Source organism: Homo sapiens, chromosome 1 (assembly GCF_000001405.40).
Source record: "Homo sapiens chromosome 1, GRCh38.p14 Primary Assembly".
NCBI classification, from domain to species: domain Eukaryota; kingdom Metazoa; phylum Chordata; class Mammalia; order Primates; family Hominidae; genus Homo; species Homo sapiens.
Window position 1 is genome coordinate 42,767,091 of NC_000001.11, and position 17,874 is coordinate 42,784,964.

The window sequence follows — 17,874 nt, forward strand, 5'->3', positions numbered from 1 at the left end:
GAGGCTTGCACCGCCTCTTTTCCTTTCAGTCAGCCCGGATCCCCCCACCGGCCCTCAGCGAATCCCGGCGCGTCAGCCGGAGCCCCGCCTCCGAGCTCAGGCCTTGCTCAGTCGAACTGACGCCCAGTAGACAAGAAAGACGGAAGCTCCGCCCACGCGCCTTTATGCGCAGGCTCTTCCTACTCGCACAGCCCAGGGAGTGGGGAGGATAAGGCGCTGTCATGGAGGACGCCGCCGCGCCGGGGCGGACCGAGGGGGTCCTTGAAAGGCAAGGAGCGCCGCCAGCTGCAGGCCAGGGAGGTATGCGGGGCGGGAGTCAGCAGGGGGAAGTCAGCTCCCGCGAGGCAGCCGGTCTCGGGGCTCCGCGGGAGGCCGACGGCGGGAGCTCACGGCTTGTGTTCCTGGGTGTGTGTCGCAGGAGCCCTGGTGGAGCTCACCCCGACCCCCGGCGGCCTGGCCCTGGTGAGCCCCTACCACACCCACCGGGCCGGGGACCCCTTAGACCTCGTGGCGCTCGCAGAGCAGGTGCAGAAGGTGAGGAGGCGCGGCCGGGGCAGCGAATAACCATCTTCGTTCACGTTGTACTCTGCGTCTTTCGGCTCAGACCTCACTACCACCTATGGTGGGGGTGGCATTTGCTCTTGTCTCCATTTTACAGACGAGTAAAGCCGACTGTCATTGTGAGTCGGTGGCCTGATTCGAATGACCTTCTGGGACCAAAGGTTCCTCTAACTGCAACTTGAGTGCCCATAATCTTCCTTCGTGGGAAGGTTTACACAACACTTTAGTGTTCATTATTTCATTTGCACCTTAGGACAGCCTTGTGAGGTAGGCAGTACAGAGTTATTCTTCCCATTTGACACAAAGAAAAGTTCTTCGGGAAGTTTCAAGGTCCGCTTATTTTAAGCTGCTTCCCATAAGATCTTTGTTACCTGAGAGTTTAAACATCTTCTAGCAGGGCAAGGACTCCAAGTTTAGTCCTCATTAAACACAGTATTCCCAAGCCCAGTGTTTATATATGGATGGCCAAAATAAGTCAAATAAGGAGGAAATGTGAAATAATGGAAAAAACACTGGAAGTTTGGACACATGAGTATTAATCCCACTTTTGATACTAACTTGCAGTGCGACTTAAGGCAGATTACTTCTCTCTGGACCTCAACTATTTTATCTGTGAAGTGAAAGGTTTGAAGTAGTAGAGCTCCAAGATCTAAAGTTTTGTCATTATTCAATGAAAAACCAGATTCCTTCTTATCTCTTATCAAGACTTCCAGTTGTACACCCTCTTCAGTGTCCACAGATGGAGGGTCCTGCTGTTTTAAAGATTATCATGGCCCCTTATCCCTGTATACACTATCAGATTTGGCCTTGATTATGTTCCAGGGTCTTTGCTTTGCCCAAAATTATTTAATGTGCTCAAATTCCCTCACATCTCTTTTTTTTTCAATGATCCTAGAAATCCTTCGAATCCTTTTTTTTTTAAAATTAAGAAAAATTCAGATACGCAGAAAGCTCCTTTAATTCAAAACTTGGCTTTCTTCTTTTTGAAGAGCTGGGGAGCAAAGTGCAACTTTTATTTATTAAGAGAATATGCATCTAGTTAATCAGATTACTCTTATTGGGAGGGAGGTTGGCAGGGACAGAATCTTGTGCACACAACGTATTCATGTGCTATTGAATGACTATCGTGTTTATTACGATGGCCTGAACAGATGGAAGAAAGAACACAGTTTTTGTCTTTCATCCTATAATCTTATGAAATACAGAGGATGCATTATTATGCTGCCTCTGTTTCCCCAATACAATCTGTATTTGAGAAGCTGAAGAAAAAAAAAACTTTAGAGACAAACAAATTGAATCAAACATATTAACTATCTAAAATGTACTTTTTGGCCAGGTGCCGTGGCTCACACTTGTAATCCCAGCACTTTGGGAGGCCAAGGTGGGTGGATCATTTGAAGTCAGGAGTTCGAGACCAGTCTGGCCAACATGGTGAAACCCCGTCTCTACTAAAAGGTGTGGTGACTCATGCCTGTAGTCTCAGCTACTCGGGAGGCTGAGGCATGAGAATCGCTTGAGCCCAGGAGACAGAGGTTGCAGTGAGCCGAGATCGCACCACTGTACTCCAGAATTGGTGACAGAGTGAGACTCTTAAAAAAAAACAAAAAAATGAGGCTGGGTGTGGTGGCTCACGCCTGTAATCTTAGCACTTTGGGAGGCTAAGGCGGGAGGATTGCCTGAGCTCAGGAGTTGGAGACCAACCTGGGCGACATGTGAAACCCTGTCTCTACTAAAATACAAAAAATTAGCCGGGCATGGTGGTGTGTGCCTGTAGTCCGAAGCTACTCTGGAGGCTGAGGCGGGAGAACTGCTTGAACCTGGGAGGCAGAGGTTGCAGTGAGCTGAGATCACACCACTGCACTCCAGCCTGGGTGACAGAGCAAGTCTAAAAAGAAAAAAAAATGGTGGTGGGCTGGGTGCAGTGGCTCACGCTTGTAATCCGAGCACTTTGGGAGGCCAAGGCGGGTGGATCACGAGATCAGGAATTCAAGACCAGCCTGGCCAACATAGTGAAACCCTGTCTCTACTAAAAATACAAAAAATTAGCCGGGCATGGTGGCAGACGCCCGTAATTCCAGCTACTCATGAGGCTGAGGCCGGAGAATCACTTGAACCTGGGAGGCAGATGTTGCAGTGAGTGGAGATTGTGCCACTTCACTCCAGCCTGGGTGACAAAGTAAGACTCCGTCTCAAAAAAAAAAGTACTTTTTTAGCAAGACTGACCCAGGTATTGGTGTGTGTTCAGAAAGCTCAGGAGGCCTGGTATTAAGGCATGAATTTTGGAATCTGACCTGTGTTCAGATCCTTTGCTGTTTATTATCTGTGAAACCTTGGACAGGTTGCCTCATGTCTGTGAGTCTTAATTGCTAAAATGAGAAAGTGAGGTTATCATCTCCAGCGTCATAAAGGTGTTGTGAGAAGTAAATGAGATGAATGTAAAGGGCCTCAGAGTAGTTGAGGCCAGGGTTAGTGCTTAGTAGTTGTAGGTACTCTTCCCTTCCTTTCTTTTTTATGAGGCTCTTTTGTTTTTAAGTTGTTCGTGAAATATTTTGCATTTTTTTTGTTTGTTTCTTTTTTCCTTTTTTTGGACCTCAGACTAATCCATATTTTGCATTTTATATTAACTCTTCAAAATATAAATTCAAATTTTGTTTATGAGATTTATTGCTAACACCTTAAGAAAAGGGAGGGTTATTATAAGGCCACCCCTAATCTGGAACTACCTTAGCTCTAGAAATACCTACTCTCTCCTTGGCCATATATGGCTCCTCCTTTCTTTCTTTCTTTTTTTTTTTTTTGAGATGGAGTTTCGCTCTTGTTGCCCAGGCTGGAGTGCAATGGCGCCATCTTGGCTCACAGCAACCTCTGCCTACCGAGTTCAAGCAATTCTCCTGCCTCAGCCTCCCAAGTAGCTGGGATTATAGACATGTGCCGCCATGCCTGGCTAATTTTGTATTTTTAGTAGAGACAGGGTTTCTCCATGTTGGTCAGGCTGGTCTCAAACGCCCGACCTCAGGTGATCCATCCGCTACGGCCTCCCAAAGTGCTGGGATTACAGGTGTGAGCCACCACACCTGGGCTTTCATTCTTGGAACAAAATGCAAATTCTTTTACCATGGGCTACAAGACTGCACAATCTGGTCTCTGCTCTCTTTTTAAACCCTGTTCTACACATTGCCCATCACTAACTACTCTTCAGCTGCACTGGCCTCAAATGCCTGCAAACTTTTTTTTTTCCAGCTTTTTTCATGGTCGGTCCTCTCCTTTCATTTAGACCCAAGTCAAATGTTATATCCTTGGTGAGGCCTTCTTGTCTGAAGAAGACCGTACCCTACCCCATCCAAATGACAGTATTATTAAATTGAATTCAAATACCTCTAGGCTACATATACTTTCCAATTCCCCACCACTCCCTATTATTAAACTTCATAAAAATGAAGTAGCTTTTTTACTTAACTCATTTGTTATCTTTAACCTGCTTCTACGACATAATTGTGGTTATTTCCTTCATAACAGTGCATTGTTATGAGTACATATAATATTAGCTTTAATCATCTTTACTTTTTGGTATCTATTACTCACTGGAGCTGTGCTTTAGGTAGCCACTAGCAACATTATGTCTGTTAAGCACTTGTGTTACGTTGTTAGTGTGGCTGAGGAACCGAATTTTGTATTTTATTTGATTTTAATTAATTTGAATTTAAAAAACCTGATAATTACTTCAATTATTGGAACTCAAGTATATTGGAACAATTTGAGTATGTGAATCAACTTTTTCACATATAAATTTTATTAAGTTTAAATACAGATGAAGTATTTCTGATGAAAATTTAGCATCCAAATTGAGATGTGCTGTGAGTACAAAATAAACACTATATTTTGAAGGCTTAATATCAAATGCAAAATATGGATTAGACTGAGAAGGACCAAAAAAAGAAACAAAAACAAACAAAAAATGCAAAATATTTCATTAACAACTTACAAATAGTGATTACATGTTAAAATGAAAATGTTTTTGATATATTAGGTTAAGTAAAATGTATTAGCTGAGCACGGTGGCTCATGCCTGTAATCCCAGTACTTTGGGAGGCTGAGGCAGGCGTATCACTTGAGGCCAGGAGTTCGAGGCCAGCCTGGCAAACATGGCAAAACCCCATCTCTACTAAAAATACAAAAATTAGCGGGGCATGGTGACGCATGCCTGTGGTCCTAGCTACTCAGGAGGCTGAGGTGCGAGATTTGCTTGAACCCGGGAGGCGGAGGTTGCAGTGAGCCTCTGCACCACTGCATTCCAGCCTCCGTGACAGAGCGAGACTCTGCCTCAAAAAAAAAAAAAAAAAGTATTGTTAGAATTAATTTACTATTAACGTGGCTACCAGAAAATTTAAAATTTTATATGCAACTTGCCTCATATTTCTGTTGAACGGTATTAGACTTGACTTGCGATCTTGACAAAGGCAGGGACTTCTCTTTCCTGTTTGCCAGTACACCCAGTGCCTAGTGTGGTGTCTGACACATAGTAGCTGCCTAATATACATCTGTGGGACAGATAAATGACTCAGTTTACTTGTGTGGTTTCTGTTCACTCATAACACTGGTTTATACCTGAACTTTGCCTTAAGACTCCTCAACTAACCAGCAAATTCTCTTTAATATTTCTTAGTTCAGGTTCTAGTTTAATCTCCTCATTTCTTTACCTTAATTGTGTATAATCAGCTTTTCTTAAAAGTAAGGTGGAAGTTTTTGACAGAATTCTATTGCCTGAGTGGTAATCCTTCCCAGCACATGAATTTGTCACATTAGTCTCTCCTAGCTTTGAGAATTTGATCTATTTTAAGAAATGTCCTGGCTGGGCTCAGTGGCTCACACCTGTCATCTTAGACCTTTGGGAGGCCGAGGTGGGCGGATCACCTGAGGTCAGAAGTTCGAGACCAGCCTGGACAACATGGTGAAACCCTGCCTCTACTAAAAATACAAAAATTAGCTGGGCATGGTGGCGGGCACCTGTAATCCCAGCTACTCAGGAGGCTGACATTAGAGAATTACTTGACTCCAGGAGGCAGAAGTTGCAGTGAGCCAAGATTGCGCCATTGCACTGCAGCCTGGACAATAAGAACGAAAACTGTCTGAAAAAAAAAAAATGTCCATTGCCTTCAGTTGCACTTTGTGGCACGTGACAGGTAGTCTTGTGTGTACATTATAACTCTGTTTCAGGTCCACATCATAATGCAGTCTTTTAAAATACATTTTAAGTAATAATTAGAAATGCACATATAAGTTAACATTTAAGTAGTTGTGATGTAAATAACTGAGGAAATGGTCAGATTAACGCATACTTTCTCAGTTCAGGGGGTGTGGGGGTCACACAGAAAAACCCGAATACTTTCTATGTGTATCTAGATTTCTACCTTAGCAGATGATAAGGGCCAGATCACAAGTGTCTTTTAATTATTTAAAATCCATCCCTGATTTCACAAGTGTTTAAACATGAGAAAATGGAGACCTGAGAAATGTGTGGTGTTTGTTAGGTAAAGAGCAGGAGGAAAAATGGATTGGTTGGAGGAGAGGATATATTCAGTATATTTGGTAGCAGGAGAGAGAAAGAGAGAAGGCATGCTGGAGAACCAAAGAAGTTCAGTGTAACTGCAGTTCATAGCGAAGGGGTGGAAAGCTATGGGAAATAGAAGAGAGCACTTAACTCTGTGGCGTGGAGTCATGTCAGGGTGGCCTTCTCATGACAGTGCTATCTGAGTGGGGCCTCGGATGAGTGGGAGGCTATGGGGCAGTGGCAAGAATGGGAAAAATATTTTAGGCAGAAGCAAAATATTAACATAACCCTGGGATCAAGATAAGAACATCATAGAAGTCTTTTCCTCTTTCAACCCACAGTTTAGTTTTTTCTCACCTGTAGGCTGATGAATTCATCCGAGCAAATGCCACCAACAAGCTGACAGTCATAGCTGAGCAAATCCAACATTTGCAAGAACAAGCCAGGAAGGTAAGGAATGACTGTTAGACAGGCTTTCATTTTCTTTATTTAGTTCTCAGGATTGGCTGAACTTGTTTATAATCGTTGTGACTTTTTATGTCTTTAATACCTCCTAGAAATGTAGAGGTGTTGAGTAAAATAGAAGGAATAAGCTTAAGAGGTTAAGTATAAGTTTTTGTTTGTCTGTTTGTTTGTTTTTGAGACAGAGGTTTGCTCTTGTTGCCCAGGCTGGAGTGCAGTGGCATGGTCTCAGCTCACTGCAGCCTCTGCCTCCCGGGTTCAAGCGATTCTCCTGTCTCAGCCTCCCAAGTAGCTGGGATTACAGGTGCCCGCCACCACACCCTGCTAACTTTTGTATTTTTAGTAGAGATGGGGTTTTGCCATGTTGGCCAGGCCTGTCTTGAACTCCTGACCTCAGGTGATCTGCCTGCCTCAGCCTCCCTTGTTTTGTTTTTTCCAGGAGAAGGTTTCATGAGGTAAAGCATTTAACAGGGGATTATGTTTTCATTTATAAAAGAAATGTACTTAGCACAGAAAAATAGGAAAGAAGCTTAAAAATTACCCAGGGTCATTAATGCTCAACATTTTGAAATATCTTTTTTTTTGAGATAGGGTATCACTGTATCACACAGGCTGGACTGCAGTGGTGTAGTCTCAGCTCACTGCAACCTCTGCCCCCTGGGCTCAAGTGATCCTCTAGCCTCAGCCTCCCAAGTAGTTGGGAGTACAGGCATATGCCACCACACCTGGCTAATTTTTTGTATTTTTAGTAGAGACAGGGTTTTGCCATGTTGCCCAAGCTGGTCTCCTGAACTCAAGTGATCCACCTGCCATGGCCTTCCAAAGTGCTAGGATTACAGGCATGAATCACTGTGCCTGGCTTGAAATATAATTTTTCTAAAGGCATTTTTACAGCATAGCAGCATAGTCTAATTTTTGTTTCTTCAGAATAATCTGGATCTCAGAAGTGATTCATTGCTATGGGGGAGCAAGATCCTAAGCACTGAATGGTTTCCAAATTTTAATTGGGATGATCACCAAATGTGGGTGCCTGTTATCTCCAATACCTAATTTGTTACATATCTGTGATTCATAGGTACTGGAAGATGCTCACAGAGATGCCAACCTGCACCATGTAGCTTGTAATATAGTGAAAAAACCTGGCAACATTTACTATCTCTATAAACGGGAGAGTGGTCAGCAGTATTTTTCCATCATTTCTCCAAAGGTAAGAACATACATTGTTTGCCCAAAAATCTACTCCAGCCTCTGAGAAATTCTTGGTATATGTGTGAAAATGTAGACATGTGGATTGGTATATGGTTTCTTAGAAAATTGGGGGTGATGTGAGCCCAGACATGACTCTAAAAAATATACCTGTGCTTAAATTATTTCACTCATTTTCTTCATTAAGGGAGGGATCTGATGTGTAAGGTAACTGCGTTCCAAAGGTTGTTCTGACTAGTATGAAGTGAAAAGCCAAAAAAGAGATTGTGGCATGATTAGGAAATGAGCTCAGTTTGTTTACAACCCACGCTGATGGGAACTGCCTCCTTTGCCTTCTCTAGGAATGGGGGACAAGTTGTCCACATGACTTCCTTGGTGCCTACAAACTACAGCATGACTTGTCCTGGACTCCGTATGAGGACATTGAGAAGCAAGATGCTAAAATCAGCATGATGGACACGTTGCTAAGCCAGTCAGTGGCCCTGCCTCCGTGCACTGAACCCAACTTCCAGGGACTGACTCACTGAGAGTGGGCTTTGACAAACAGCTCTCACAGGACCTGGCTGTCAACCTCCTTGTTGCCCCCACTGTTGCCTTGAGAATTGAAGACATGTAGGTGACTCACAAACTTCTTGGAAAGAGACCCTGTGTGAATGTAAATGCTGTCATTATGACTTTTAATTGGGATGGGAATAATCATTGAGACAGAGTCACTGTCTTTCGGGATCCTCTTTGGACCACAGATACCCAAGTCAGTCAGTTTCAGAGTATTGGCCAGTGTACTTTCCTTCTTCCTCTCCATCACTTCTTCCCTTAAGTTAAAGTGTTAGAGAAGACCTTCTTCCCATAAAAAGGTTGGTGGATCGTTTTCCAGAGAGAACTGTTTTCAGTCTTTTATATATATATATATATATATATAACTGGTAGTATTTAACATTGGGGTTGAGGCTGTCTCACAGTTGGTGCAACTCCAGTTTAAAATTCATCTGGGAACGAGAATGTTGAGTAATGGAGGGTGATTTAAAAAACAACAACAACAACAAAAAAAAAAACACTTGGCTTGGCTGGACCAGAGAGTGTGTGATTCTGGGATTTCTGTGCTGTTGATGAGGTTTGTCTTGCCCCTTTTGCTCTCTCTGCCTTGCTAGAGTGACAGAATCTGAGGCAGCAAAGGCCAGGTTTGGGGAGAGTCAACTTTGAAACTCACAAATTTTAGACTTGGAAGAGACATTGGATGCTGCCACTAATCATTATAGAGTCCACTGTGTAGTCTCCCAAGTTGGAAATCCCAGGCTCAGCCACCTGCAGCAGAACAAACCCATTTAAATGGCTACTTAACACTGTGGAAGAGAGTAAGGCAGTAGAGTGAGAAGCAAGAAAAACAGCCAAATTGTTGACTGTGAGTTAACTCAGATTGAAATCCATTTTGACCAGAATTATTCAAGAACTTAACAGGGTTTTGGCAAAATTACTGTAGTTCTTATTCTGACTAGGCTCTTGTAGGACTCTACCTTCTTTCCTATCTGTTTGGTGGAATTAGCTAAGTTTATGGATTATTTCGCATGGCTATAATCTATTGCAATATGCTGTAAAAGGAGGGAGAGATGTGTACTTGAACTGACAATTGGCCAAATTTCTCTCTGGGAATGATGTTCCTGATGCTGATCTGTTTGGTAATACCCTCCCCGGGCCGCCCCCCGATTCATGGTCTTTCCTCATAAACTGCATTTCTTGTGAGCTGTAAGAGGTCTACCTAAGGCCTAGCACAGGATGGGGCTAGAATCTAACAAACTCACTCCGATGATACTTGGTTGCTCGGTTCACATGGGAATGCTCTTTGGACTCAGCTGCAGAGGTCTTTTGCTCAGGTGCTGCAGAGCCGGATGGAAGAGACATTAGTGGTAGAGTAGTGGATTCTGACTACAGAAAGTTTCCCAGGTTTTCAGAAGGTTCTGACCTGCATGATGATGACACATTTTGAATAGGTGCTTTATTAGTTACAGATAAACAAATTACTGCAAACTTAATGGTTTAAAGCAACACCTATTTATTTCAGAGCTTACAGGTTAGGAGTTCAGGCACCATTTCATTGAGTCCTCTGCTTCACAGTTTCTCTGAAACCCTGGAAGGCTGAAATCAAGTTATTGGTCAGGGCTGTTCTTATCTGAAGGCCTGAGTGGGGAAGGATCTGCTTCCAAGCTCACTTAAATTGTTAGCAGAATTTCTTTTCTTTCCTTTCTTTTTTTTTGAGACAGAGTCTCGCTGTATTGCCAGGCCTGAGTACAGTGGCTCAATCTCAGCTTACCGCAACCTCCGCCTCCTGGTTCAAGTGATTCTCCTGCCTCAGCCTCCTCAGTAGCTGAGATTACAGGCGCACGCCACCATGCCCAGCTAATTTTTTTATTTTTAGTAGAGACAGGGTTTCACCATGTTGGCCAGGAGGGTCTCTATCTCTTGACCTCATGATCCACCTGCCTCAGCCTCCCACAGTGCTGGCGTTTGAGCCACCATACCTGGCCTGTTGGCAGAATTTCAATTCCACAAGGGTTGCTGGCTTCCGGGGTTCCACTAGCTGACTGTTGGCTGGAGGTTGCCCTCACTTCCTTGCCACACGAGCCTCTATAACATGGCAGCTTTCTTAAGCAAAGTAAACAAGGATTAGAGTCTGCTAGCCAGATGGAAGTTACAGTCTCATGTAGTCTGATCACAGAAGTGACATTTCATCACCTTTGCCGTAATCTTTTGGTTGGAAGCAAGTCACTAGGCTAGCCCATATTCAAGGGAGGGAGTTATACAAAGGCATGTATACCAGAAGGCAGACATCATTGAATCATTGAACAGATCCTAGAATCTATCTGCCACAGTGCTCAGTTGAGAAGAAGAAAGGAAAATTCTAGGTAAAAAAGGCAATATTACTAAGTGGTTAAGTGTGATGATGTCAAAGTCACAGATCTGCACTTGACTGTCAACTCTGACAAGACAGCCTCCCAGCTGGCATCCCTGCTTCCCCCTCTGTCCCCTCTCCAATCCATTCTGCATGCAGTCATCAGCTTGATCATTTGAAAATGCCAAATCTCCCTCACTCTTGACATTTCCTAACCTAAAGAGTGGGAGAGTAGTGATTGAAAAGAGAGAAACTGCCTTCTGTTCAGTAAGATGTACTCCCTGCACTGACCACCAAGGGGTGTCATTGCTCTTTCCTGGTTAAGCCAGTTACCACACTTGGGAAGGGCTAGTGGCAATGTGAGGTGATTTGGGGCACCTCAGAATGGGAAACTAGGACCCAGTGATTATATACAGTAATCACTTTTCATTTACCCATCCATCTGTTCACCTGATAATTTCATTAGTGTTAAGTGCCTTCTAGGTTCCAGGTTCTGGTGAATAATGGAGCTGAATAAGAAATCACAATTTCCAGGGAGCTCACAGTATAGTAGGGAAGGAAACAAGTTAACAATTACAAGATGCTCTAAGAAGGGGTGTGATAGAGGTACGCATGGAATACTATGGAGCTCCGGGGAGGGGTTCCTTACTGAGCTTGGAGAATTTGGGAAGACACTTGGAGGAGCTGATGCCTGCTTGGTGTTGAAAACCATACAAGTTAGAACTTTCTGGAGGCTCCAATTGCCCTTTCATAGGAAGTTTGTCTTTTGGGGGTTGGGGTAGGGTTCATTTTTGGATGGAGTTTATTTGTGAATGAAGAAAGTGACAACCATTTAAGCCATATCAACCAAAGCAGTCCTGGCAATGAGGAGGGGTGGAGTGAGATATGTCCTGGCTAGAAAATCCTTGTGTTTAAAAGCTAGGAGATAGTTGAAGACAGGGAGGAAAAAACATTCCAGACAAAAAATAACATGGAAGGGACATTGACCAGAATTGACACGACATTTGGGGAATCGCAGCCAGTTAAACAGGAGAATATGGACTGGGGAATATGAGAGAAGAACTAATGGAAGGATTTGGGGAGGCTGGTAATATTGGCAGCAGAGTTTGGGTAGAGGGAAGACAGGAGATTCCATCCCTAATCAAGGCAAGGGATGATGGGAGTCTGAATTAAGCAGTAGTAGAATGAGAGGGCCTGTATTTCACCAATTACAAGGTGTACTTCCCCCCCCCCCCCCCCCACATTTTGGTGTCTGTCAAACTTGGACACTTCTAAAAGTCAATGGCATGTCACAGTTTAAGTGGCATTTTTTCTTTCTTAGAGCTACATAAAAGAATCATAACAAGCTGGGCGCAGTGGCTCACGCCTGTAATCCCAGCACTTTGGGCGGCTGAGGCGGGCGGATCACGAGGTCAGGAGATTGAGACCATTCTGGCTAACATAGTGAAATCCTGTCTCTACTAAAAATACAAAAAATTAGCCGGGCGTGGTGGCGGGCGCCTGTAATCCCAGCTACTCGGGAGGCTGAGGCAGGAGAATGTCGTGAACCTGGGAGGCGAAGCTTGCAGTGAGCCGAGATTGCACCACTGCACTCCAACTTGGGCAACAGAGCAAGACTCCATCTCAAAAAAAAAAAAAAAAGAATCATAACATAGCATCTTACATTTGATGAAGCATGGCACATTGAAAGTACAATCGATTGCCATCTTGTTAATAAAATGTCAGAGGGATTAGAGGAAAGACTCTTAGATGATGCTTGAATTTCTGGCTTGAGTGTCTGCATTGAATAGTGGGGATCCCCTCAACAAAATTTTCAGGAGGAGGAGGATATCCCTGTTATTTTCCAGAATAATCAGTGATACTCTGTGATATTGATAATCTACCTTGTTGGCCCTTACCAAATTACTGGGTGTGAGTAACAGCTGACTGTAGCTCCCTTTCTCTACCCTAGTGCTCTGGAAGGAGGAAAGGAGAGCTGGCTTGTATCTTACTTTCTCAAGTTATCAGTCCACAAACATGAAGAGTATTAGTGTTACAGATACAAAGATGATAACTACTGTCTTATGAGCCTTTATTCTGCTAAGTGTATCCATTATCTCTTTTAATCTTCACACAACCCACCATCAATGAGGTATATAGTATTCTTATGTTACACAGCAGGAACATCTCAGAGATTCTGAAACTGGCCCGTGGTTATACAGATGGGAAGTGGTAGAGGTCAGATTCAGACACAGTCCTGTTTGAGTCTGACCATAACCTTAATCCTGTTTGGGCCAATTAAGACAGTCGTAAAAGATCTCAGTATAGAGCTATAAAGAAGTTAAATCACAAAAGTGATAAAGTAAGTTTTTTTTTGTTTGTTTGTTTTTTTGAGACAGTCTCACTGTGTTACTCAGGCTGGAGAGCAGTAGCTCAGTCATAGCCCACTGCAGCCTTGAACTCCTGGGCTCAAGCGATCCTCCTGCCTTAGCCTCCCAAGTAGCCAGGACTACAGATATACACCAACATGTCCAGCTAATTAAACATTTTTTTTTTTGTAGAGATGAAGACTCACCATGTTGCCCAGGCTAGTCCCAAATTCCTGGCCTCAAGCAGAATAAGATGTTTATATGAGATACTATTGGAGTAGTTCACTTGAGCATTTAGTGATAGGTATGTAGAGGATGTATATCAAGGTATAGAGAAGTAACTTATTTAAGGTCATACAACCTATAAACAATTGAGCTCATATCTCTGGCATTAAAGCCTGGATATAGAACCCCCATCAGAAGATAGGGTTCATTTGTTCCTTTAAGGAGCTGGAGCTTGGGAGGAAGGAGCTACAATGTGCCTGGAAAAATTTCATTTCTGTAGTCTTAAACAGCATTTGATTCAGTGGAGCAGTCTGTACTTGAAAGCTTTTTTCTTCATTTTGATTTGTAATATTATCATCTACTGCTTTTCTCTACTTCACTGACTGTACCTTTTCTGTGTCCTGCTCCTCCTCTTCCTGACATCTACATTCTGAGGCCAAGTCTATGGCCCCCTCCTCTTTATCTCTGCTAAGTGGTCTAATCCATTCCCCAGGCTTTAAATGCTGTCCACGCGCTGCTGACTCGCATACATATCTCCAGCCCTCATCAGTCCCCAAGTTTCATGCACACTTGTTTGTCCAACAGCCTTATTTGATATCTCTACTTGACTTGTAGTCATTACAAATTTAACGTGTCCAAATCTAAACTCTTGAGTTCATCCCCAAAACCTGTTTCACCACCAGGCCTCTCTCTTTCCATCAGCACCTGTCTCACACTGTTGTGGCAGCCACAACAAGAATGACCTAAGTCATTCTTGATTTCTCTTGTTCTCCCCATACCAGTCAGCAAGTCCCAGCTCTGCCTTCAAAATGTATCCCAAATGTGACTGCTTCTCTTCACCTCACCCCTTTCCCCCTTAGTCCAAGCCACCAACATGTTCAGCCTGGACAATGCAGTGATCTCCTAACTTGCCTCCCTGCTTCCACAGAGGCTGTCAGCAGCATCTTTTAAAACTACAAGGCCAGGCACGGTGGCTCATGCCTGTAATCCCAGCACTTTGGGAGGGTGAAGCGGGCGGATCACGAGGTCAGGAGATCGAGACCATCCTGGCTAACACGGTGAAACCCCGTCTCTACTAAAAATACAGAAAATTAGCTGGGCGTGGTGGCGGGTGCCTGTAGTCCCAGCTACTCGGGAGGCTGAGGGAGGAGAATGGCGTGAACCCGGGAGGCGGAGCTTACAGTGAGCAGAGATCGTGCCACTGCACTCCAGCCTGGGCCACAGAGCGAGACTCCGTCTCAAAACAAACAAACAAACTACAAGCCAGATCACAACACTTCTGTTAAAAAAAAAAATCCCAGAATTTCTCATTTCTTCCCTAGATTCTATGTGATCTGCCACTCTCAGGACTCAGCATGTTCCTGCTTTGCTGACCTTGCTGTTCTTCCCACACACCAAGCTCATTGCCGCTCATTTACATTTGCTGTCTCATCTGCTTGGAGCATTGCCTCCAGGGTCTTTGCAGGTTTGTGTCTTCTCATCCTTTAGGTCCCTGCTGAAATACCACTTCCCTGATTACCCTATCAGAAATACCAACCCTTCTCACATTAAAGTGGTTCTGATTCTGCTTTGTTTTCCACAGCATTTAGCACAACCAGAAATGATTTATGTTTTGCTTCTGTTTATAAGTTCTCTGATTATAAGTTCTGTGAGGACAGAGACTGTCTTTGTCTTGTTTACTGCTGTCTCGAGCATCTAAAATAGTGCCTGGCGCATGATAAACACTCTTAATAATGAATAAGTGGGCCAGGCATGGTAGCTTATGCCTGTAATCCCAGCACTTTGGGAGGCCAAGGCAGGCAGATCACTTGAGGTCAGGAGTTCAAGACCAGCCTGGCCACCAGGGTGAAACCCCCATCTCTACTAAAAATATAAAAATCAGTTGAGTGTGGTGGCGGGCACCTGTAATCCCAGCTACTCAGGGGGCTGAGGCCTGAGAATTGCTTGAACCTGGGAGGCGGAGGTTGCAGTGAGCCGAGATTGTGCCACTGCACTGCAGCCTGGGCGACAGAGTGAGACTCCACTTCAAAAAAAAAAAAAAAAAAAAGAAAGAAAAAAAGAATAAATCAATGGATGGACATCTGCAGCTCTGCACCTATATCCTGTGAAGGATCCAAGTCAATGCAGTTAATAGAAATATAATGTGAGCCACATGTGTGATCTAAATTTTTCCAGTAGCTACATCAAAAAGTAAAAAGTGAAATTAACTTTAAGAATACATTTTATCACCAGGTGCAGTGGCTCATGCCTATAATCTCAGCACTTTGGGACTCTGAGGCAGGAGGATCGCTTGAGCCTAAGAGTTCAAGACCAACCTGGCCAACATAGGGAGATCTCATCTCTACAAAAAATACAAACATTAGCCAGGCATGGTGGCATGTGCCTGTGGTCCCAGCTACTTGGGAGGCTGAGGTAGGAGGATTGCTTGAGCCCGGGAGGTCCAGGCTGCTTTGAGCCATGATCATGTCACTGCATTCCAGCATGGGTGACAGAGTGAGACCCTGTCTCAAAAAAATAAATACATACATACATTTTATCTAACCCAACATATCCAAACTATTAGCATTTCAACAAATTACTAAAAGAAATTATTTTACATTCTTTTTTAAACTAAGCATTCAAACTTTGGTATGTACTTTATACTTACAGCACGTCTCAATTCAGACTAGCCACCTTTCAAGTGCTCAGTAGCCACATGTGGCTGCTGGCTACCATATTAGCACAAGTGTAAGTAGCCTAACTTACTGTTCCTGTTCTGTACTTCCTGTGAGATCCAGAATGAGGGAAGCTAGAAACTTCTGTTAGGGGGGTATCTTTCTCAGCTACCCTGCTTCCTTCCCCTCTCCTGAAGGAAACTTTGGGGATGTCCAGGTTAATAGATGTATGATCATATCCTTAGATTAATAATGCTAATAATTGAGCTTCTACTCTCTGTCAAGCATATAATCTCATTTAATTCTGACAACAATCCCATTTTACAGATTAGGAAACAGGTTCAGAAAAAGTAACTTGTTCATGTTTATACATCTGGTAAGTGTTAACGCTGGAATGTAAACTTGGTTTAAAGGTAAGCTGGTATAATCATTACGCTACAATTTTTAACTTGCCACTCTTTTTTTTTTTTTTTTCTGAGATGGAGTCTAGCTTTGTCACCCAGGCTGGAGTGCAGTGGTGCAATCTCGGCTCACTGCAGCCTCCGCCTCCCAGGTTCAAGCATTCTCCTGCCTCAGCCTCCCGAGTAGCTGGATCTACAGGCACGCACTGCCACACCCGGCCAATTTTTTTTTTGTATTTTTAGTAGAGACAGGGTTTCACCATGTTGGCTAGGATGGTCTTGATCTCCTGACCTCGTGATCTGCCTGCCTTGGCCTCCCAAAGTGCTGGGATTACAGGTGTGAGCTACCATGCCTGGCTAATTTGCCACTTTAATGGGCCACATGGCAGGGAGCAATGAAGAGAAACACGTGGATGGTCAAAGGAAGCTGGCCTGACTCAGGCTGGGGCGTGTAGCAAACCTTTTGTTGCCTCCGCCCGGTTTCTCACACACCCTAGGTCTGACTTTGGTATCACTGTTTTCAGGTCTCAGCTCCACTAATTATTAATGGTGTGTTCTTCAGTAGAATCAGCTGTCTGATCCCCTACTTCCTCTTCTGTAGGATGGGAATGCTAACACTAACCTCAGGTTAGCTGAGAAGTTCCAGTGACATGATGAGAATGTCTGTACAACATGTAGCCCAGTACTTGCTGTGTGGTGTTCTCAGAACATGCTTGGTCTTAAACTCCTCTTTCCCGGGCTGGCTGCAAGGAGAGGCAAAGTGTCACTTGACCTTCTAGCTCCCTTGCCCTTTTATATTCTCCTGTGGGGTCCTCACAGTGATCCCTGCTCCAGTGTCGCTTCCGGTGGACTGGTGAGGATGGGGCACTATCTGAGAACCCATGCCTGAAATCCTTACCCAATACCAAAAAGTTTCTTTCTGTAGCACTTTGTCAGCCCAGCTGCCAAAGATAGTCACCTCTGAGATGCTCTTATCCCCTCCCTCTCGCTGCTCTCACCCGTGGGAGTCCATCTCACATGGGCTCCTGAGGGGGCTCCTTCTTCCCATCCCATCTGTTGCTCACCTGCCTCCTGCCCTGCGGGATTGCAGATCCTTCCTCCACAATGCCTGCCAGGTTAGTCTTCCTGAAACAACCTGACCATGTCACCTTCCTACTGAAAAACTTTTCTTCAGGAATTGAATCCAAATTCCTTAGCTTGTCATTCATCCAAATAGTATTCCTATGTGCCTATGCCCTTCCTATAGGCACAGCGAACAGTAGCGAAGCAAACGTACAAGCAGCCCTGCCCGCGTGGAGCTTACCTCTAGGGGCCCAGGAGAGGCTGGGCCCAGCATCCCGGCACAGCCTCGCCTCCCCAGCGCATTTCCCGCCCCACTCCGGGCCCACGCGCCTGGGCCCGCCGTCTCCACCATGAAGCCTTCCCAGCCTGGCCCAGGTAGAGGAGACGTCCCCTTCCCTGGGACTCCTCCATTCCCCACCGCCCCCACTACAAGACCTGGGCTCCCCTGGAAACTGAGGCCCTTCTCCCCGACTACAGACCCGCAACCCCTCCCCTGCTCTGAGGATTGTGAGCTAAGAGCTAG

At 44.5% G+C, this 17,874-nt stretch overlaps 1 protein-coding gene and 1 long non-coding RNA gene across 3 annotated transcripts, besides 1 other annotated feature; one reads left to right on the forward strand and one right to left on the reverse strand.

The window, feature by feature from the left end:
• On the forward strand, window positions 159-12,401 carry C1orf50 (chromosome 1 open reading frame 50). Of its 2 annotated transcripts, NM_024097.4 has the most exons (5): window positions 159-300; window positions 419-534; window positions 6,473-6,559; window positions 7,647-7,778; window positions 8,119-12,401. In NM_024097.4, exons 1-5 carry the CDS (start codon window positions 222-224, stop codon window positions 8,302-8,304), a joined length of 600 nt encoding a protein of 199 aa, NP_077002.2. In that variant the 5' UTR covers window positions 159-221; the 3' UTR covers window positions 8,305-12,401. The 2 variants fall into 2 exon arrangements, 1 of the variants encoding a protein (NP_077002.2); NR_040733.2 differs by lacking the exon at window positions 419-534.
• Window positions 307-446: a silencer, noted in NCBI's record as "silent region_768". NCBI's record gives its function as "represses an Ori minimal core promoter by ATAC-STARR-seq in GM12878 lymphoblastoid cells {active_cell/tissue: GM12878}" and the evidence as "EXISTENCE:reporter gene assay evidence [ECO:0000049][PMID:35858748]".
• Window positions 8,723-17,805, reverse strand: TMEM269-DT (TMEM269 divergent transcript). The gene is made up of 4 exons (NR_133055.2): window positions 17,593-17,805; window positions 16,912-17,032; window positions 9,574-9,734; window positions 8,723-9,079 (listed from the first exon to the last, which is right to left on the reverse strand). It is a non-coding gene; the product is annotated as a TMEM269 divergent transcript (long non-coding RNA).

Excerpts from the sequence above, each read along its gene's own strand:
- C1orf50 (NM_024097.4), top strand. The coding sequence starts at position 222 with ATGGAGGACGCCGCCGCGCCGGGGCGGACCGAGGGGGTCCTTGAAAGG. Across the intron at positions 535-6,472 it reads TCGCAGAGCAGGTGCAGAAG|GCTGATGAATTCATCCGAGC; the intron begins GTGAGGAGGCGC and ends TCTCACCTGTAG. Across the intron at positions 6,560-7,646 it reads TGCAAGAACAAGCCAGGAAG|GTACTGGAAGATGCTCACAG; the intron begins GTAAGGAATGAC and ends TGTGATTCATAG.